Source organism: Homo sapiens, chromosome 9 (assembly GCF_000001405.40).
Source record: "Homo sapiens chromosome 9, GRCh38.p14 Primary Assembly".
Classification (NCBI taxonomy): Eukaryota; Metazoa; Chordata; class Mammalia; order Primates; family Hominidae; genus Homo; species Homo sapiens.
The window spans coordinates 135,819,214-135,841,215 of record NC_000009.12 but is presented as its reverse complement, the minus strand read 5'-3'; the positions used below and the strand labels follow the sequence as shown (position 1 = coordinate 135,841,215).

The 22,002-nt window shown below is 47.7% G+C and overlaps 1 protein-coding gene across 9 annotated transcripts in view, besides 1 other annotated feature; it reads left to right on the top strand.

The window, feature by feature from the left end:
* The window catches only part of CAMSAP1 (calmodulin regulated spectrin associated protein 1), a 99,060-nt gene that overhangs the window by 66,331 nt on the left and 10,727 nt on the right, over positions 1-22,002 (top strand). For all 9 annotated transcript variants that reach the window (NM_001437281.1, XM_011518273.3, NM_001437280.1 and 6 more), the window contains 4 exons: positions 13,632-13,809; positions 16,336-16,427; positions 17,182-17,266; positions 17,956-20,377. In NM_001437281.1, coding sequence (NP_001424210.1) covers positions 13,632-13,809; positions 16,336-16,427; positions 17,182-17,266; positions 17,956-20,377 — 2,777 coding nt within the window. The remainder of the gene's footprint in view (positions 1-13,631; positions 13,810-16,335; positions 16,428-17,181; positions 17,267-17,955; positions 20,378-22,002) is intronic.
* Positions 19,951-20,112: a silencer, noted in NCBI's record as "fragment chr9:138712950-138713111 (GRCh37/hg19 assembly coordinates)". NCBI's record gives its function as "represses an EF-1alpha promoter that drives an FKBP-Casp9 reporter gene in an ReSE screen in HepG2 liver carcinoma cells {active_cell/tissue: HepG2}" and the evidence as "EXISTENCE:reporter gene assay evidence [ECO:0000049][PMID:32094911]".

The following is a 22,002-nucleotide window of genomic DNA, read 5'->3' as shown; positions in this document are numbered from 1 at the left end:
CTGTGAGGGAAAAACCCACCTACTCAAGCCTCAGTAATGGTGGACGTCCCTCCTCCCACCAAGCTCGAGCACCCCAGGTCGACTTCAGACTACTGTGCTGGCAGCGAGAATTTCAAGCCAGTGGATCTTAGCTTCCTGGGCTCTGTGGGGGTTGGATCCACTGAGCTAGACCACTTGCCTCCCTGACTTCAGCACCCTTTCCAGGGGAATGAACAGTTCTGCCTCGCTGGCGTTCCAGGCACCACTAGGGTATGAAAAAAAACTCCTGCAACTAGCTCGGTGTCTGCCCAAATGGTCGCCCAGTTTTGTGCTGGAAACCCAGGGCCCTGGTGGTGTAAGCACTGAAGGGAATCTCCTGGTCTGTGGGTTGCGAAGACTGTGGGAAAAGCATAGTATTTGGACCAGAATGCACCATTCCTCACGGCTTCCCTTGGCTGGAAGAGGGAGTTCCCCGACCCATTGTGCTTCCTGGGTGAGGTGATTCCCCACCGTGCTTGCCCTCTGTGGGCTGCACCCACTGTCTAATCAGCCCCAATGAAATGAGCTGGGTACCTCAGTAGGAAATGTAGAAATCACCCGCCTTCTGTGTTGATCTTGCTGGGAGCTGCAGATTGGAGCTGTTTGATCTTGCCAGCCACCTTCCTCCTGCCTTTCTTCACCCTTTTCATGATACTGTCCAGCTCAAGAAGGAAGTCTTGTTTTTCCTGCTGCTTGTGAGGTGGTTTCACCTGTTCTGCCTGGTGGGAAAGGCCTCTTCCCATCGGACCCCGTCGTGAGTCATGGCTGGAGCCCCCTTCTTCTTGCGGGGCTCCTCTTCTTGCCTGCTGGTCCTTAGGAATGAGGAGTCAGGAATGCTAGGAAGCAGCTAAGCTTCAGTTCACTCTGGGATGAGACATAGCGGGGGAGGGGGACCTCAGAGTCATGGGCCCGCTCTGCACCTCCGAGGCTGGGGAGTGTCTCTGGTCTGATACAGTATTATGTGGGGCCCTGTGCAGTGGGTCCTACTGCCAACCGTTGGGTAGTGATGCCTGCTGAAACCCTATGGCCAGGAGAGGCCAACACTCAGGTGCAGAATGCACGGCTGCTCTTGGAAAAGTGAACTGCTGGCCCTTCCAGGCTGCAAGGGGTCCATTGTAGTTACCTTGCTGCCTAGTGATTGGTTGGTCTTCTCCAGGACGGTGCCATATTAGGAGTCAGCACTGGTCTTGGCAGGTGGTAGTCTGTGCTCTTAGTCTCCATACCTGCCTACCTCTGGCTGCTTCATGTGTGTGTCTGTTGTCCTGGCCTGAGAGTGGCTGATGGCAGAGTTTGTCTGCATTCCCAGTTGACCCACTGTTAACTGTGCCCAGGCTTTCCCCTTTTCCATCTGTGGTCGTCAGGGGCCCTTGTGTGGCTGTAGAGAGGGGCTCGGTGGGCTGCTGGTGCCCTGGCAGTAGCTCGTGAGGGTCTGGGCTGTGTATGCCTGCAGCTCGTGCCCCTGCTCCTGTGCAGGCTCGGTCCCAAGGCACAACTCCGTCTTATGGGTGCACTCGGCCTTAGCCCTGGAGTGAGTGGGTGGCAGAACCCAGCTTGTGATGGGCAGTTCTGAACACACTGTCAGCAGGCGTACAGTACCCTGTGCACATCAGGGGCTGTTGTTAATGTCGCGTGATTCTCTGTGGCTCTACAGTCCCGGGATCTTGCATTGTGCTCTCCCAGCTGACTTGCCAGAGACTCCTGTGGCATGTTCTCCCTCCACTGATACCTGTAGGCCATGGGATGTGATGACCCCTCCCTTTCCCAGTGCATACTCATCTGGGAACGTAGCTGGTGGTCCCTTTGGGAATGACTGGGGAACCATTGCCATGCATGCTCACCTTAGTGTTGCTGGTCCCAGAGACTGGGCATTGTTGGGAGGAAATACGGACACAAACAGACTCATAGCTATTCATATGCATGTGGCAGGCACAGAAACAGTGGCTTGCTGAGTAGCTAGAAATAGGGACTCATACACTCTGCATCAGCAGGGAGGCAGGGAGAGAAGAAGCTTGTATGGGAAGGATGAATCAGTTTCCTCAGGAAAGACAGATAGGCTCATACAGGAGCAGAACCGAAGGGCGCCGAACCAAGTAGAAAGTGTGTAGCGAAGTGTGTCTGCAGAACGGGTAGAAAGTGTGTGATGATGTGTGTCTTGAGAATGGAGTAGAAAGTGCGTAACAATGTGTGTCTATAGAACAGGGTAGAAAGTGCGTGGTGACGTGTGTCTGCAGAACGGATATAAAGTGTGTGGTGATATGTCTCTGAAGAATGGGTAGAAAGTGCGTGGTGACGTGTGTCTGTAGAACAGGGTAGAAGGTACGTGGCGAACGTGTGGCTACAGAATGGGTAGAAACTGCTTGATGACGTGTGTCTGTAGAACGGGGTAGAAAGTGCGTGATGACATGTCTGTAGAATGGGTGGAAAGTGCGTGATGACGTGTGTCTGTAGAACAGGTGGAAAGTGCATGATGATGTGTGTCTGTAGAACGGGTGGAAAGTGCGTGATGACGTGTGTCTGTAGAACGGGTGGAAAGTGCGTGATGATGTGTGTCTGTAGAACGGGTGGAAAGTGCGTGATGATGTGTGTCTGTAGAACGGGTAGAAAGTGCGTGATGATGTGTGTCTGTAGAAGGGGTGGAAAGTGCATGATGATGTGTGTCTGTAGAATGGGTGGAAAGTGCGTGATGACGTGTGTCTGTAGAAGGGGTAGAAAGTGCATGATGTGTGTCTGTAGAACAGGTGGAAAGTGCGTGATGATGTGTGTCTGTAGAACGGGTGGAAAGTGCGTGATGATGTGTGTCTGTAGAACGGGTGGAAAGTGCGTGATGACATGTGTCTGTAGAACGGGTGGAAAGTGCGTGATGACGTGTGTCTGTAGAAGGGGTAGAAAGTGCGTGATGATGTGTGTCTGTACAGTGGGTAGAAAGTGCGTGATGACATGTCTGTAGAATGGGTGGAAAGTGCGTGATGACGTGTGTCTGTAGAACGGGTGGAAAGTGTGTGATGACGTGTGTCTGTAGAACGGGTGGAAAGTGCGTGATGACGTGTGTCTGTAGAACGGGTAGAAAGTGTGTGATGACGTGTCTGTAGAATGGGTGGGAAGTGCGTGATGACGTGTGTCTGTAGAATGGGTGGAAAGTGCGTGATGACGTGTGTCTGTACAGGGGGTAGAAAGTGCGTGATGACGTGTGTCTGTAGAAGGGGTAGAAAGCGTGTGATGATGTGTGTCTGTAGAAGGGGTAGAAAGCGTGTGATGATGTGTGTCTGTAGAACAGGTGGAAAGTGCGTGATAACGTGTGTCTGTAGAACGGGTAGAAAGTGCGTGATGACGTGTGTCTGTAGAAGGGGTAGAAAGTGCGTGATGACGTGTGTCTGTACAACGGGCAGAAAGTGCGTGATGACGTGTCTGTAGAACCGGTAGAAAGTGCGTGATGATGTGTATCTGTAGAAGGGGTAGAAAGTGCATGATGATGTGTGTCTGTAGAACGTGCGTGGTGACGTGTGTCTCTAGAATGGGTAGAAAGTGCGTGATGACGTGTGTCTGTAGAAGGGGTAGAAAGTGCGTGATGACGTGTGTCTGTACAACAGGCAGAAAGTGCGGATGACATGTGTCTGTAGAACCGGTAGAAAGTGCGTGATGATGTGTGTCTGTAGAACTGGTAGAAAGTGCGTGATGATGTGTGTCTGTAGAACCGGTAGAAAGTGCATGATGATGTGTGTCTGTAGAAGGGGTAGAAAGCGCGTGATGACGTGTGTCTGTAGAAGGGGTAGAAAGCGCGTGATGACGTGTGTCTGTACAACGGGCAGAAAGTGCGTGATGACGTGTCTGTAGAACCGGTAGAAAGTGCGTGATGATGTGTGTCTGTAGAACTGGTAGAAAGTGCGTGATGATGTGTGTCTGTAGAAGGGGTAGAAAGTGCGTGATGATGTGTATCTGTAGAAGGGGTAGAAAGTGCATGATGTGTGTCTGTAGAATGTCCGTGGTGACGTGTGTCTCTGGAATGGGTAGAAAGTGCGTGATGATGTGTATCTGTAGAAGGGGTAGAAAGTGCATGATGATGTGTGTCTGTAGAACGTCCGTGGTGACGTGTGTCTCTGGAATGGGTAGAAAGTGCGTGATGATGTGTGTCTGTAGAACGGGCATGATGATGTGTGTCTCTAGAACATGTGTGGTGACGTGTGTCTCTAGAACAGGTAGAAAGTGCGTGATGATGTGTGTCTGTAGAATGGGTAGAAAGTGTGTGGTGACGTGTGTCTGTAGAACGGGTAGAAAGTGTGTGGTGACGTGTGTCTGTAGAATGGGTAGCAAGTGTGGTGACGTGTTTGTAGAATGGGTAGAAAGTGCATGATGTGTGTCGGTAGAAGTGTGTGGTGACATGTCTGTAGAACGGGGTAGAAAGTGCATGATGATGTGTGTCTGTAGAACAGGGTAGAAGGTACGTGACAATGTGTGGCTGTGGAATGGGTAGAAAGTGCGTGGTGATGTGTGTCTGTAGAACAGGGTAGAAGTGCGTGGTGACGTGTGTCTGTAGAACGGGGTAGAAAGTGCGTGATGATGTGTGTCTGTAGAACAGGGTAGAAGGTACGTGGCGATGTGTGGCTGCAGAATGGGTAGAAAGTGTGTGGTGATGTGTGTCTGTAGAACGGGGTAGAAGGTACATGACTGTGTGGCTGCGGAATGGGTGGAAAGTGCGTGGTGATGTGTGTCTGTAGAACAGGGTAGAAAGTGTGTGGTGACGTGTCTGTAGAACAGGGTAGAAAGTGTGTGGTGACGTGTCTGTAGAACGGAGTAGAAAAAGCGTGGTAACGTGTGTCTGTAGAACAGGGTAGAAGGTATGTGGTGATGTGTGGCTGCGGAATGGGTAGAAGGCGCGTGGTGACGTGTGTCTGTAGAACAGGGTAGAAGGTACGTGGTGATGTGTGGCTGCGGAATGGGTAAAGGTAGGTGGTGACGTGTTTCTGTAGAACAGGGTAGAAGGTACTTGGCGATGTGTGGCTGCGGAACGGGTAAAGGTATGTGGTGATGTGCGTCTGTAGATGCACATGGGCTTCTCTGGGTGCTTTTGGGCAGGAAGTCTGCCCCAGAGGGGATTTTGGCAGCTCTCTTTCCGAAGTTTCTGCCCCTGGTCGGATAAGAGAAGCTCTGAAAAAGCTGTTTTTTGAGTCTGTTGGATAGCAAATGTCAGAATAATTTTTTTGTTGTTTTTGTTTTTTGTTTTGAGACAGGGTCTTGCTCTGTCACCCAGGCTGGAGAGCAGTGGCACAATCTCACCTCACTGCAGCCTCCACCTCCTGGGTTCAAGTGATTCTCCTGCCTCAATCTCCCAAGTAGCTGGGATTACAGGTGCGCACCACCATGCCTGGCTAATTTTTGCATTTTTTAGTAGAGACGGGGTTTTGCCATGTTGGCCAGGCTGGTCTAGAACTCCTGACTTCAGGTGATCTGCCTTTTCCGGCTTCCCAAAGTGCTGGGCTTACAGGCGTGAGCCACCGTGCCCAGCCATCAAAATAATTTTTATGCCACTAGGGTGTAATTTGGATCCGTCCAGCATGGCATACTGAATTCCAGTGGGGGCACAGCTGCTCTTAGCAACCAGTCATCCTTTCTTGGTTTCTTCTCATGGGATAAGCTCACCAGTGCCCTTGTTGGCTCTGCGTTTTGTGCCTAGTGAAGCAGGGCCCTGTTCTCAATTCTGTGACTCTGCTGACCAGGCCCCATGGCCGCCCCTCCAGCCTTGCCATTCACCATAATCACTAAGGCCACCTGGTTTCTGATACCTCCGTGAAGCCTCTCACTTTGGAACTCTGTCTTCCCCTTGCCATGGTGATTGCTTCCCCGCCAATCGTTGCTTCAGACAGCCCTGGTGTACTGAAGGGGGCGACCACGGGGCTGCCTGGTGCTGCTGTGGGTACCCGTCTGACCGGCACACTCCCCATGCTTCTGCTGTGTGTGTGGGGGCGGGAGGGGTCCTAGCCCCTCCTTTGCTGTCCCTTGGCAGTTATGGTACTTCTCCCTTACTTGGTAAGGGCCTCCTGTTAGTACACGTGCATCATCACCCAATTCCTGCCAAATCCTGTGCTTGGGGGTCCTCCCAAATGGACACATTTTGCCTCAGCCAGCTCCCTTGACAAGGGCCCTCAGAGTCCAGCACTTCACAGCCTCCCCTGGCTGCTGAAACTGGCTGGCTACACCCCGCAGCTCCACGGGGTGTGTGGGTATGTGGCCCTTTTCTCCCAGGCAAGGGCTTTGTTGGATGTCACCCTGGTTATAGGCCTGGTGACCGCGAGGGAAGATGGGGGCAGGTCCTATTGAAGATTAAAAGTGTATATAAACAGCATGATGTTTTGATACACGTATACATAGTGAACTGGTTACCAGGGTCAAGCTAGTTAACATCCATCTCTTCACATCGCTACCTTTGTATGTGGTGAGAACACTTAAAATCTTTCAGCAGATCTCAAACGGACAACATAGTATTGCTAACTATAGTCCCATGCTGCCTTACTTACCTTAAAATGGAAACTTGGTGCCCTTTGACCATCATCTCCCTGTTCCCCTCACCCTCCAGCCCCTGGCAAACACTTCTCTGCTTAAGTTCTACTTTTTAGATTCCACATACAAGTGTGATCAAGCAGTATTTTTCTTTCTGTGTCTGGCTTATTCACTGTACATAATATCTTCCAGGTCCATCTGTGTTGTCACAAATGACAAGACTTCCTTCTTTTTTGAGGTTGAGTAATATTCCATTGTATGTCTCTGTATATCACAATTTCTTTATTCATCTGTTGACAAGCAGATTGATTCTATATCTGGGCAATTATGAAATGTGCCGCAGTAAACATGGGAGTGCACATAACTCTTAGCGACGCAGATTTCATTTCCTTTGGATATATACCCAGAAGAGGGATTGCTGGATCATATGGTAATTCTGTTTTCAGTTTTTTGAGTAACCTCCATACTGTTTTTCAGAATGGCTATACCAATTTGTGTTCCCACCAACAGTATGCAAAGGTTCACCTTTTCTCCACATTCTCCTCAATACTCATCTCTTGTCTTTTTGATAATAGCCATCCTGACAGGTGTGTGATGCCTTATTGTGGTTTTGATTTGCACTCCCTGATGACTGGCCATGTTGAGCAACTCTTCACATACCTGTTGGCCACCTGTATGTCTTCTTTGGAAAAAAATGCCTATTTAAGACCTTAGCCTGCTTTTTATTTGGGTTATTTGTATTTTTGCGATTGAGTTGCGTTACTTATGTATTTTGGATGTTAACCTCTTATCAGCCATATAGTTTGTAAATAGTTTCTCAGTCTGTAGGCTGCCATCTCGTTTTGTTTGTTTCCTTTGCTTTGCAGAACCTTTTTCATTTGGTGTAGTTCCTGTGGTTTATTTTTGTTTTTGTTAGTTGTGCTTTTGGTGTGATAACCAAATCATCACCAAGGCTAATGTCAAGGAGCTTATTTCCCTAGAGTTTTACAGTTTCAGGCCTTAATTAAATTAATTAGTCTTAGTTTAAGTCTTCAGTCCATTTTGAGTTGATTTTTGTATATGGTGTGAAATAAGGGTCCAGTTTCATTCTTCTACATCTGGTTATCCAGTTTTCCCAACAACATTTATTGAAGGTACTATCCTTTCCCCATGGTGTATTTTTGGCACCTTTGTCAAAGATTAGTTAACCGTATACCTCAATTCTGTTTCATTGGCTTGTGTCTGTTTTTATGCCAGTATGATAGTGTTTTACTATAGCTTTGTAGTATAATTTGAAATCAGGGAGTGTGATGTTTTTGCCTTTGTTGTTCTTTTTCAAGATTACTGGCCGGGCGCGGTGGCTCACGCCTGTAATCCCAGCACTTTGGGAGGCCGAGGCGGGCGGATCACGAGGTCAGGAGATCGAGACCATCCCGGCTAAAACGGTGAAACCCCGTCTCTACTAAAAATACAAAAAATTAGCCGGGCGTAGTGGCGGGCGCCTGTAGTCCCAGCTACTTGGGAGGCTGAGGCAAGAGAATGGCGTGAATCCGGGAGGCGGAGCTTGCAGTGAGCCGAGATCGCGCCACTGCACTCCAGCCTGGGCGACAGAGCGAGACTCCGTCTCAAAAAAAAAAAAAAAAAAAAAGATTACTGTGGCTATTTTGGGTCTTTTGTGGTTCCATACAGATTTTAGGTTTGTTTTTCTGTTTTGGTGGAAAATGCCATTGGGATTTTGATAGGCATTGCAGTGAATTTGTAGGTCATTTTTGGTAGTATGGACATTTTGACAATATTATGTCAATCCGTGAATATGGGATATCTTTACACTAATTTTGTTGTCTTCAATTTCTTTCATCAGTGTTCTATTGTTTTCAGTGTACAGATCTTTTACTCATTGGTTATATTTATTCCTAAGTATTTGTTCTTTTTGATGCTATTATAAATTGGATTGTTTTCTTGATTTCTTTTTTAGATAATTAATTGTTAGTGTATAGAAATGCTACAGTTTTTTCATGTTGATTTTGTATCCTGCAACTTGACTGAATTCGTTGATTAGTTCTAGCACTTATTTTATGGAGCCTTTAGGATTTTCTATGTGTAGGACCTTGGATCTGCAGTGAGACAGTTTTATTTATTTATTTATTTTGACTAATTTATCTGACTAGAATTTCCAGTACTGTGTTGAATAAAAGAGGTGAGAGTGGGCATCCTTGTCTTGTTCCAGATCTTAGAGGAAAAGCTTTCAGTTTTCCCCCACTAATTATGGTACTGGCTGTGGGCTTTTCATAAATGGTTTTTATTGTGAGGAGGTAAGCTCCTTCTATACCTGTTCTGTGTAGAGTTGTTTTTTTTAAATCATGAATGGATGTTGAACTTAGATGCTTTTCTGCATATTGTTGAGATGATCATGTGGTATTTATCTGTGATTCTGTTAATGTGTTCTGCATTGATTTGTCTTTGTTGAACCAACCTGGCATTTCAGGGAGGAATTCCACTTAATCATGGTGTATAATCTTTTTGATGTAATGTTGAATTTGGTTTATTAGTATTTTATTGAGGATTTTTACATCTGTGTTAATCAGAGATATTGGCCTGTAGTTTTCTTTCCTTCTGGTGTCTATGTCTGCCTTTGGTATCAGGGTGATGCTGTCTTCATAAAATGAGTTTAGAAGTGTTTCTTCTTCTGTTTTTTGGAAGGATTTAAGAAGAATTGGTAGAATTCAGTAGTGAAGCCATCTGGTCCTGGACTTTTTCTTTGTTGGGAGGTTTGTGATTACTGCTTCAATCTCTTTATTTATTACTGTCTGTTTAGGCTTTAGATATCTTCTTTGTTCAGTCTTCATAGATTGTATATTTCTAGAGATTTATCCATTTCTTCTGCATTATTCAGTTTGTTGGCATATAAGTGTTTGTAATAGGCCCTTGTGATCATTTTTATTTCTGAGGCATCTATTATAATATCTCCTCTTTTATTTCTGATTTTATTTGAGTCTTTTTCTTCATTAGTTTGTCGATTTTATCTTCACAAAACCAACTTAGTTTTGTTGATTTTTTCTATTGTTTTTCTCTATTTGATCTATTTCTGCTCTGATCTTTATTATAATTTCCTTTCTTCTGCTAACTTTGAGCTTAGTTTGTTCTTCCTTTCCTAGTCTTTGAGGTGTGAAGTTAGGTTGTTATTTAAAGTCCTGCTTCTTCGTTAATGGAAGTGTTGATTGCTACAGAATTCCTTTTTTTTTTTTTAATTAAAAAAAGAGAGATGGGGTCTCGCTATGTTGGCCAGATTTGTCTTGAACTCCTGGCCTCAAGCAGTCCTCCCACTTCAGTCTCCTAAAGTGCTGGGATTACAGGTCTGCGCCACCACATCTGGCCCCAGACTTCCTTGTTAACACTGCATCATGCAAGTTTTGGTATGTTGTATTCCGCTTCATTCAGCTTAAGATACTTTTAAAATTCCCTTTTGATTTCCTTTTTTACTCAATGGTAGCTTAAGAATGTGTTGTTTAGTTTCCACGTATTTGTCAATCATCCTGTTTTCTTGCCGTTACTTTTTTATTTTTTTGAGACGGAGTCTCACTCTGTCACACAGGCTGGAGCGATCTCGGCTCACTGCAGCCTCCGCCTCCCAGGTTCAAGCGATTCTCCTGCCTCAGCCTCCCAAGTAGCTGGGATTACAGGCGCCCGCCACCACGCTCAGCTAATTTTTCGTATTTTTAGTAGAGACGGTGTTTCAGTGTGTTGGCCAGGCTGGTCTTGAACTCCTGACCTCAGGTGATCTGCCCCCCTCAGCCTCCCAAAGTGCTGGGATTACAGGCGTGAGCCACTGCGCCTGGCCTTCTTGCTGTAATTAATTTTAGGTTCATTCCATTGTGGTTTGAAAAGATACATGACATGATTTTGATCTTAAATATTTTAAGACTTGTTTTATGACTTAACATATGATCTGTTCTGGAGAATGGGTCCCATGTGCTTGAGAAAAATACGTATTCTGCTGCTGTTGGGTGAAAAGTGTGTATATGTCTCTGTGAGGTCATTTAGTCTGGAATGTTGTGTAAGCCTGCTGTTCTTTGTTTTTATTACTGTTAAATATCCTGTCTGGATATTCTATCCAGTATTTAAAGTGGGGTATTGAAGCCTTCTGCTATTACTGTATTTCTGTTTCTCCTTTGAGATCTGTCAATATTGCTTTATATATTTAGGTCTGATGTGGGTACATAGATGTTTACAGTTGTTACAGCTTTCTGTTGAATTGACCCTTGTCTCTAGAGACAGTTTTCGATGTAAAGTCTCTTTTGTCTGAGGTAAGTATAGCCATGCCTGCTTTCTTTGGGTTACCATTTGCATGCGTGGAATATCTTTTCATCCCTTCACTTTCAGCCTGTGTGTTCTTCACTCAAAAGTGGGTTTCCTGTAGGCAGTATACTGTTGAATCTTGGTGTTTAGTTCATTTAGCTACTCTCTATCTTTTGATTAGTGAGTTGAATCCATTTTTGTTTGAAGTAATTATTGATAGGAAAGGATTTCCTTTTTCCATTTTGTTAACTGTTTTGTCTAACAGTTCTTTTGCATGTCTTTGTCTCTTGCTATCTTCATTTGTGTTTTGTTGTTGCTTTTTGTGTTAATGGTTTTTGCTTTCCCTTCTTTTTTTCTTTTGTGTAACTTCAGTAGTCATTACCTAGGGCTTACATAAGATACAGTTGTCTGTTTTAAGATGATGACAACTCACCTTCACTTATATGCAAGACCTCTCAGCTTTTACCTCCCTCCTCTACATGATGTGCAGTTAATGCCACCATACATAACTATTTATGTAATTGTTAACATAACTTATTGTTATTTATTTATTTATTTATTTATTTATTTATTTATTTATGACAGAGTCTCGCTCTGTCGCCCAGGCTGGAGTGCAGTGGCACAATCTCAGCTCGCTGCAACCTCCGCCTCACGGGTTCAAGTGATTCTCCTGCCTCAGCCTCCTGAGTAGCTGGGACTACAGGTATCCGCCACCACGCCTGGCTAATTTTTGTTTTTTCGGTAGACATGGAGTTTCACCATGTGGCCAGGCTGGTCTTGAACTCCCAACCTCGGGTGATCCACCAGCTTCGGCCTCGAAAAGTACTGGGATTACAGGTGTGAGCCACTGTGCCTGGCCAATTTATTGTTATTTTAACTATTTTTGTCTTTTACCTTTTTTTCTTCTTTGAGACAAGGTCTTGCTCTGTTGTCCAGGCTGGACTGAAGTGCAGTGGCTTGATCATTGCTCACTGCAGCCTCAGACTCCTGGGCTCAAGCAATCCTCCTACCTCAGCCTCCCAAGTAGCTGGGACTACAGGCTACAGGCATGTGCCACCATGCCTAGCTACTTTAATTTTTTTTTTTTTTTCAGTAGAGATGAGGTCTTGCTGTGTTGCCCAGGCTAGTCTAGAACTCCTGAGCTGAAGTGGTCTTCCCACCTCAGCCTTCCAAAATGTTGGGATTACAGGCATGGGCCACCGTGCCTGGCCTCTTTTAACTTTTATAATGGAATTAAAAGCGATGTATCTACCACTGTTATGGTAATACAGTATTATGTTTGTGTCTGTATATTTCCCTTTACCAATACGTTTCATACTTTTTATGTTTTTGTGTTGCTATTTAGTGTTCTGTTGATTCAATATGAAGAATTCCTTTTAGCCATTCTTGGAAGGCAGGTGCAGTGGTGATGAACTCCCTCAACTTTTGTTTGTCCGGGAATGTTTTTATTTCCTCTGTGTTTCTGAAGTATTGCTTCGCCAGATAAAATGTTCTTGGTTGGGGTTTTTTCCCGTCCTTTCAGCGTTTTGAATATATCATCCCATTTCTCTCTGGCCTGCAGGTTTCAGCTGAGAAACCTACTGATAGTCTAATGGGGGTTCCCATGTATGTGATGAATCACTTTTCTCTTGCTGCTTTCAAAATTCTTTTTGTCTTTGACAATTTGATTATAATGTGCCTGGGGGAGCACATGTCATCTTGAGAGAGAGATCTGTATCATCTAAGCGTGGGGCCAGCAGGGATACTGGCCTTTAACAGGGAGGGAAGCCCTCCTCTGTAGGCTCAAAGAATTTCAGGTAATCTGAGAATTTGAGGTTCTCCAGGCCTAGAAGTTTGTATGCCATGAGTCATAGTCTCTTTCCTTCCCATCTAGGGCCTCACCTTGGCCTTGCAGCCTTCTTGGGTTGGGGGTTTAGCTTCTCCGGCAGCCATTCATTTCTGGTCCTGGCCCCTGGCTGTAGGAGAGCACAGCTTGGTGCCCTTGGCTTTTGGTCACATGTTGCTGCCTCTTAGCCCTCTTTATCTTTTCCCTAGACCGTCTGCAGAGCTCAGTGCAGCCGCCACCCGCTCGTCCTTACTTCCCTCCTCCATGTTCACAACACATCACCTAGTGGGTGCCCTCCCACTGGTCCCCACCATATGGCCCCACCTCTTGCCTTCTTGAGCTGCTCCTGGCACCACCTCCCATAGGTTAGTTCTCTGGGAAGCAGCCTTAGATACAGAGTCACTGTTTGGGGCTGACCCTTTGGGAGAGAGGCGGGTGAGCAGGCGTGGGCCAAGAAAGGGAATGGCGCCCCAGCCAGGCTCAGCACCTCACCTGACCCCCAGGGGCTGGAGCTGAAGGGACCCACCAGAGCAGCTGCCCACATGCTGGGTCTAGAGAAGCGCCCTTCTGACCCTGCCTCGGTCCCTCACTGGCTGGGCTGAGCGAGGTGGCTCTCTGGAGCTGAGCCCCAAGCCTTCTCCCAGGAGCCTGGGTGGTGGGCATCTTGTCTAGGACCAGGCTTGGTGAAGGTGGCACGTGGTTTTGGAAGCAGCCCACCAGTGGAGGGCTTTTGTGCGGGTGCTAGACGGTGACCAAGACAGAGCCCATCAGCTGGGCTTACATTTCCTCTCAGTTCTTCTTCTCATCTGTGTTGTGTCTTTTAATGTTAGTATTTACTTCGGTATAATATTTGTAGTACTTGTTATTACAGAATACATTTGTTAAACTTGAAACCAGTTTTTTTTGGCAGAAGTTTGGTTTCAATAAAAGGTTGAGTTAGTGCTTATAAAAGCTGCAGGTTAGGTTTTCTGTGCTTCCAGTTAGTGTTGTAAGTAACGATGCAAAAACGCTATTTCTGCAGCGAAAACAGTGTTACACCAGAAGAGCAGCCGGCCTCCTGTACCGATCTCCAACGCGACCAAACGCAGTTTCCTAGGCAGCCCTGCTGCAGGGACCCTGGCTGAGCTGCAGCCCCCCGTGCAGCTGCCGGCGGAAGGCTGTCACAGGCACTACCTGCACCCGGAAGAACCTGAATACCTGTAAGTCTGTCTTTCTGCTTTCAGAATCAGTTCACCATCTTGTGTCCCTTTTTGTGTTAGTTTAAAATATTAATTGAAGTTACCTTTTTTAAAATAAGCAATTTGTATTCGCTTATGAAAGATTTTCCTTCTGTCCCTGCCCTTCTGGCCATTCGGTCCCCTTTCCAGAGGCCGGGAATGATACTAGCAGGAAGTTCCTTCAGGGATGTGTACCTAATTCTGACATTGTTTATGGAACAGGTGTTTTTCTGTTCTCTTTTCCACCATGTGTTACACTGTTTAAGAAACGATCTAAAGATTAGAAAGTTGAATTGACAGTTTAGGTGTGCTCTTTATGGTCTGATAGACATAAAGAGTGAAATCCTCTTGCATTTCAAGTATTGTGAAGTCTTCAAAGAAGAGAATTTGTTTGCTCTTTGGGGAAGAATTAATTTGATTCGAGTGAAAAAGTGTATAGAGCTGCTTAAAGGCTAAACTACTCTAGAAAAAGAGTTGTTTAAAAAACGTTTTTTCTAAAATGAATTTTCATCATGAAGACCTAATTTGGATAACCATATCTGGGGTAGAATTGACTGTGCCAGAATTGGGGGAGGGGGTGAAGGAAGCTTCCCTTGGAGTAAGAGTGAGCTTTGTGCTGTGTGTGGTAGGAGGACCCACAGCTGATGCCAGCCTGGAGCCAGTTAGCACACCGAAAGTGGAGAAACATTTTTAACATGTGGCGATTTAAGTTGGGATTTAAGATGAAGACGCTATTTAAAAGTGGTTTTAAATAATTCACATAAGTGAATGGTTCAGTGAGACAGCATGGCATAGAACGAACTCAGTTGTTTCAGGTTGTTTGAGAGGAGCTAAAACCGGTGACCATGTTGAGGGATGGGATGCGGGGGCTGCCGGAGTCAGGAGGAAGGAGTTGAGAGGCCCTTGTGATACAGGCAGTGGTGGGGGGGTACACACCCAGGGGTGGGGCATAGCTGAGGGAGGGGTTTGGATGTGTTCTGTGTTGGGCGGCTTTGAGACTGGGGTGTCTGTCCCCAGAGCTCAGAGCAGAGGTGGGGCGGTAACTCCATGCCCGCGGGCACAGGCGGGGTCACTGAGTGAGGAGAATGGCTCGAGGCTGAGCCGTCCCTCACATGGGGCCAGCGTGGACACTTGGCGTCCTCCCTTCGGTCTTTGCGTGTCTGTTGTTGAGCCGTGTGTGTGTGTGTGTGTGTGCTGGTGCCCGTGTACACGCTGCTCTGTGACCTGCTGTCTGCACCCTGTTGTCTGCACCCAGCAGCCTGTGGTGAGAATTTTCCCACTCGGTGCATCCTCGTCTGCCACAGTTTCAACAGCTACCCAGTCTGTCACGTCATGGGCGTGCCGTGATGGGTCCACTGTCCCCACGGTGTCCAGGCTGCAGGGTTTGCATTGTGGCCCTGACACAGGTCCCTGTGCCATTCCTGCTCTGCCCAGCTTCCCCCCGGGCTCCCTGCCTTGAGCCCCTCTCTCCGCAACCCTTTCGCTTGTGTGCTCCTGCACACCTGCTCTCACTGTGTCTCTTTGGTGTCTGTGTCCTGACTCTGGTGTCCTCTGCCCGTCTTTGCCTCTTCAGGCCTAGGTGTGCTGACTCTGGCCTAGGGTGCCGAGCTGTCCCCTGTGATCTCCCCAGCCTGTCTGCACCTGGCGAATTATCCCTTTACCAAATTCTCCCCAAAGTGAAACAAGCAAGATAGCTGCCCTGCAGTGTGAGCGCGCTTGTTTCTCGGGGAGCTGGTGCCTGTGGAGTGGCAGAGGCTGCTGGGTGCCGGTCTCATGGGTGTTGCTCTGTCAGAACTGTGCGATCCGCACACGTGTGACTTCCGCCTTTCCTGCATGTGCCGTTCTTCCCGGGAGTGAGGCCTTCACACCCATGCTTCTGTGTGCACCTCTCATCGTTCTTTCTCTTAAGCTATAATCCAAGGAGTGGTAAAGGTGTGAGTGATTTTAGAGGTTTTTATGGATATTGCCATATTGTCCTCTAAAAATGTACATTTTTACCCTCCCACCAGCAGTGTGGGAATGTTCATGCTGCCGTCTGTGATGGGTTTAATTACTCATCAATATCTTCACAGTGGTGGCTTAGTACATTGGGCATCATCCTTGTGGTCTCTTTTATCTCTGAAGTTCTCTCTCTTTTTTTTAATTGAAGCAGTAATGTGCATTTTTGAAAACTGTTGCTTGTCAGAGGATCACTTTTTCTTTTTACTTTTGCTTATCTCAGAAAATCACTCTAATTGCACGCTTGGGTTTTGCTTTTCCCGTGGGAAGCTGGTTGTGTTGTAGACACATCGGGGAGTCAGTGTGCCCGTTTGCAGTGTGTGGATGTTCATCCCAGGTTGGAAGTTCCTGATACTCTTGGCTCATTTTTATTGTCATTTTTTTCCCAAACAGTCCGAGTTTCTCAAAACTTGGTGTGAATTCAGGATGGTCCTGTACACTTGTGCATTTGCTGTTGACCTTGAAGTTTGATAAAGGAATGATTTTCCCTGTAATTCTTTTTCCATTTAGCGGGAAAGGAACTGCTGCCTTCAGCCCATCCCATCCTTTATTGCCACTGAGACAGAAACAGCAGAAATCCATACAGGGAGAGGACATCCCTGGTAAGAATGTTGTTTCCTCCTTTTTTCCTTAATTTCTCCTTACTATAGATTAGTAAAATCATATTTCTCAAAATTAAATCATTTTATCTGATGTAGTGATTTTTTTGTTTGTTTGTTTGTTTTTTGAGATGGAGTCTTGCTCTGTCACCAGGCTGAAGTGCTGTGGCGCGATCTCGGCTCACTGCAGCCTCTGACTCCCTGGTTCAAGCAATTCTCCTGCCTCAGCCTCCCACATAGCTGGGATTATAGGCGCATGCCACCATGCTCAGTTAATTTTTGTATTTTTAGTAGAGACAGGGTTTCATCATGTCGGCCAGGATGGTCTCGATCTCCTAGCCTCATGATCTGCCCACCTCGGCCTCCCAGAGTGCTGGAATTACAGGTGTGAGCCACTGTGCCCGGCTGATGTAGTGATTTTAGTTAAGACTGTAGCCAAATAAATTTTAACTTGTGTTGTCAAAATGTATAGTCTTGCAGTGAAAATATCGTTGAGAGCAATTACCTTCTGTGTAGTAGACACAGAGTAACTGCGACATAAGCAGGGCTCACACATGCTGAAGCTCTCTCACAGTTCTGAACTGTGTGTTACCATCAAAATGTGGGACAACTGTATGGTTTTGCCTCTCTGCTTTCCATGCGGCCCTTCTGGTGTACTGACTTGAGAGGCATTTTTCTGGACAAATGGTCATATTGAAAGAATTTCAAGTGATAGAAAATTGGTTACTTAACACTATCTAATTCCTCTGTACTGCAGATCAGCGACATCGATCGAATTCTTTGACCCGAGTTGATGGTCAGCCTCGAGGAGCAGCAATAGCCTGGCCAGAAAAAAAAACCAGGTGAGTCTGTGTTTCAGCAGTGTTTCTGTTTGGAATGTTTTTTATACTAAACAGCAGTTCTTAAGATGTCACCCCAACCCCCTGAGGATCACCGAGACCCTTTTATAGGGAGTGCCTGAAATCAGAATTATTTTTATAACAACACTAGGAAGTTACTGCCTCTCTGCAGCCTCACTCTTGCGAGTGTGCCGTGGGATTTTTCAGAGGCTGCATACCATGTGGTGTGGCAGCAGGTGGAGTCAGGTATGAGGGTCCAGCCAGATCCCAGAACTATACAGGTGTCAAATAGTGCCTGCCCTTAACACTAGGAACTTCTTCCGTTCTGGCGAATATAGTCATTTGTCATGGAGTGGGCTAATTACTGTAATTTTAATCAGTGTTTAGAAAATGTCTGAGCTTTAATTTGTAGGATGATAAATAGAGATTAATACTGATAAATAGAAACAAAAGCTCTTTGAGGTCCTCAGTAATTTTGAAGGGTATCAAGAGGTCCTGGGACTAGAGTGTTTGAGAATCACAAAGCTGAAATTATCTCTGATTTTCTTCTGCTCTGTGGAAGAGTGAGTTTAAATCTCCTGCATATGAGAGGCGTATTCTCTTTGTGTGGCCGGCATTCTCACCCCCTGGTCCATGTTGGGGGTCTTTGGTGTATACCGCAGCGCACCCAGTGGGCCTTCCCTGTGTTTCAGGCCTGCGTCCCAGCCAACACCTTTTGCTCTACATCACGCTGCGAGTTGTGAAGTGGATCCCAGCTCTGGCGACAGCATCAGCTTGGCCCGCTCCATCAGCAAAGACAGTTTGGCATCCAACATTGTTAATCTGACCCCACAGAACCAGCCACACCCCACGGCCACGAAGAGCCACGGGAAGAGCCTCCTGAGCAATGTCAGTATTGAGGATGAGGAAGAGGAGCTTGTGGCTATTGTTAGAGCAGACGTGGTTCCCCAGCAGGCTGACCCGGAGTTCCCCAGGGCCTCACCCCGGGCCTTAGGCCTTACAGCAAATGCCCGGTCTCCCCAAGGACAGCTGGACACCTCGGAAAGTAAGCCTGACAGTTTTTTCTTGGAGCCTTTGATGCCAGCAGTTCTTAAGCCAGCGAAAGAGAAGCAGGTGATCACCAAGGAGGATGAACGGGGGGAAGGGAGACCGAGGAGCATCGTGTCTAGGAGGCCCAGCGAGGGCCCCCAGCCTTTGGTACGAAGGAAAATGACTGGCAGTCGCGACTTGAATAGGACTTTTACCCCGATTCCATGCTCAGAATTCCCCATGGGCATCGACCCCACCGAGACAGGACCACTGTCAGTGGAAACCGCAGGAGAGGTCTGTGGTGGGCCTCTGGCCCTTGGCGGATTCGATCCGTTCCCCCAGGGACCATCCACGGATGGCTTCTTCCTTCATGTAGGCAGGGCCGATGAAGACACCGAGGGAAGGTTATATGTTAGTTGTTCAAAAAGCCCCAACTCCCACGATTCAGAGCCGTGGACTCTCCTCAGGCAGGATTCTGACTCGGATGTGGTGGACATAGAGGAAGCCGAGCACGATTTCATGGGTGAGGCCCATCCTGTGGTTTTCAGCAGATACATTGGGGAGGAAGAGTCGGCCAAACTGCAGGAGGACATGAAGGTGAAGGAACATGAAGACAAAGATGACGCCAGCGGCCGCTCGAGCCCCTGCCTGAGCACAGCCTCTCAGATGAGCAGTGTCTCCATGGCGAGTGGGAGCGTGAAGATGACCAGCTTTGCGGAGAGGAAGCTCCAGAGACTCAACAGCTGTGAGACCAAGTCCAGCACCAGCAGCTCCCAGAAGACCACGCCAGATGCGTCTGAGAGCTGCCCAGCCCCTCTGACGACGTGGAGGCAGAAGAGGGAGCAGAGTCCGAGCCAGCATGGCAAGGATCCCGCCAGCCTCCTGGCATCTGAGCTGGTACAGCTGCACATGCAGCTGGAGGAGAAGCGCAGGGCCATCGAGGCCCAGAAGAAGAAGATGGAGGCGCTGTCGGCAAGGCAGCGCCTGAAGCTCGGCAAGGCTGCATTCCTGCATGTGGTGAAGAAGGGCAAGGCCGAGGCTGCCCCACCCCTCAGGCCGGAGCACTTTGCAAAGGAGTACTCTCAGCACAACGGGGAGGACTGTGGGGACGCTGTTTCCAAAACCGAAGACTTTCTCGTGAAGGAGGAGCAGAGAGAGGAGCTCCTTCACGAGCCACAGGATGTGGACAAAGAGAGCCTGGCCTTTGCTCAGCAACATAAAGCAAAAGACCCTGTGGCTCTGCACGAGCTGGAGAGAAATAAGGTGATCTCCGCTGCCCTCCTGGAGGACACTGTTGGGGAGGTTGTCGACGTGAATGAATGTGACCTTTCCATCGAGAAGCTTAACGAAACCATCAGTACGCTGCAGCAGGCCATCCTGAAAATCTCTCAGCAGCAAGAGCAGCTTCTGATGAAGTCCCCCACAGTCCCAGTGCCAGGCTCTAAGAATAACTCGCAGGACCACAAAGTGAAGGCACCAGTCCACTTCGTGGAGCCACTCTCTCCCACGGGCGTGGCTGGCCACCGCAAAGCCCCCCGGCTGGGTCAAGGCCGGAATTCCCGTTCCGGAAGGCCGGCGGAGCTGAAGGTCCCAAAAGACAGGCCACAGGGCTCCTCCCGAAGTAAAACCCCAACGCCCAGTGTAGAGACGCTCCCGCACTTGAGACCCTTCCCTGCCAGCAGCCACCCTCGGACGCCCACGGACCCTGGCCTGGACAGTGCCCTGGAGCCCAGTGGTGACCCACATGGGAAGTGTCTCTTCGACAGTTACAGGCTCCATGATGAAAGCAATCAGCGGACACTTACTCTGTCCTCTTCCAAAGATGCCAACATTCTTTCGGAGCAGATGAGCCTCAAAGAAGTTCTGGATGCGAGTGTGAAGGAGGTGGGGTCCAGCTCCTCAGATGTCTCGGGAAAAGAGAGCGTCCCCGTGGAGGAGCCTCTGAGGAGCAGGGCCAGCCTCATTGAAGTGGACCTCTCCGACCTGAAGGCCCCCGACGAGGATGGGGAGCTGGTAAGCCTCGATGGCTCGGCGGACCTTGTCAGCGAAGGCGACCAGAAGCCGGGGGTCGGCTTCTTCTTCAAGGTAAGGGATTGGTAGCATCTGTTTCAGGCACTCGTGATGTGTTGCCACCCCACGTGATAGTGAGTTAGAGAACACAGATCTGCACCAGGCTGGCCAGCCGCTCCTGTAAGAGGCCAGGGGATGTGTGTGTTTAGCTTTGTGGGCCACAGAGTCTCTGTCCCGAGGACTCCACTTGGCCAGAAGCAGTCCCGGGCAATACGCATGCAAGTGAGCGTGGTGTGGCTGAGACGACTTTGTTATGAGCCCTGAAACTGGAATTTCATGTGATTTTCAACATAGTTTTTTTTTTTTTGCTGGTTTTCCAGTCAAAACCCTGTCATCTCCCTGTCCTGCCCCAAAGCGTAAAAAGCGTTCGTCGTTAGAATGCTCTGGAGGTGGCCAGGCCTGGCCTGTGGGCTGAAGTTTGCCAACCTCTGATATAGCAACTTCAAAAAACATTTTTTGTATGTTTTTCTTGTAATTTTTTCCTTAGATATGAAGGGAAGCGTAAACTGAACTGTTTTAATAGTCAGTGCGTCACATGATGTTTGCTGTGACGTTCGTTGTCTCCTAAGATGATAAGACCATATATCGTCGTCTCCTAAGATGATAAGACCATGTTTTCGTGGTAGTTTTTCAATGTTTAGATAGATTTTGATACACAGTTACTTACAGTATTGGGTACAGTAATGTGCTGTGCAGGTCTGTAGTCTAGGAGCAGTGGCTGATGTAGCCGAGGCCTGTGGGGGGCGCTGCCATCCAGGTGTGCGCACACTCCGTCATGCTCACACAGCAGCAGAGTCACCTGAGGACCTATTTCTCAGAACGTTTTCTCTCGGCAAGCGACACGCAACTGTTTCTGCTTTGCCTCCAGGCAGTTATGAATTTGAGAGGATACCAAATCATCAGGTGGATCTTAGCAAAAGAGGCAAGCTTTATTTGGTGGTTGCACTTTTGAAATGTAAACAAATTCGTGACCAACTTCAGTATTCACTTTTTCGCTTTTTTTTTTTTGGACAGAGTCTGGCTCTGTCGCCCAGGCTGGAGTAAAAGGGCATGATCTTGGCTCACTGCAACCTCTGCCTCCCGAGTTCAAGCGATTCTTCTGCCTCAGGCTCCTGAGTAGCTGGGATTACAGGCGTGTGCCACCATGCCCGGCTAATTTTTTTTTTTTTTTTTTTTTTTTTAAGTGGAGACAGGGTTTCGCCATGTCGGCCAGGCTGGTCTTGAACTCCTGACCTCAGGTGATCCACTCTCCTTGGCCTCCCAAAGTGCTAGGATTACAGGCGTGAGCCACCACATCTAGCCAATTTTTGTATTTTTAATAGAGACAGGGTTTCGCCATGTTGGGCAGGCTGGTCTTGAACTCCTGACCTCAAGTGATTCACCCACCTCAGCCTCCCAAAGTGCTGGGATTACAGGAATGAGCCATTCTGCCCAGCCTCGCTCTTATTTTGGAAATATACGTGTACTTTTTAAGGCAAACTGGATCTCGTGAGATGTTTGGGAAATTGGGTGATGCCGAGCGCCTTTGAAATGCCCTGGTTTGTCTTCATTCGTATTTCAGAGTCTGTAACGGTTAGAGAAAAGCATAGAAGTCTTTATGCGTTAAACTTTTAAAAGCGTAGTGGAAGTCGGCTGCTGGG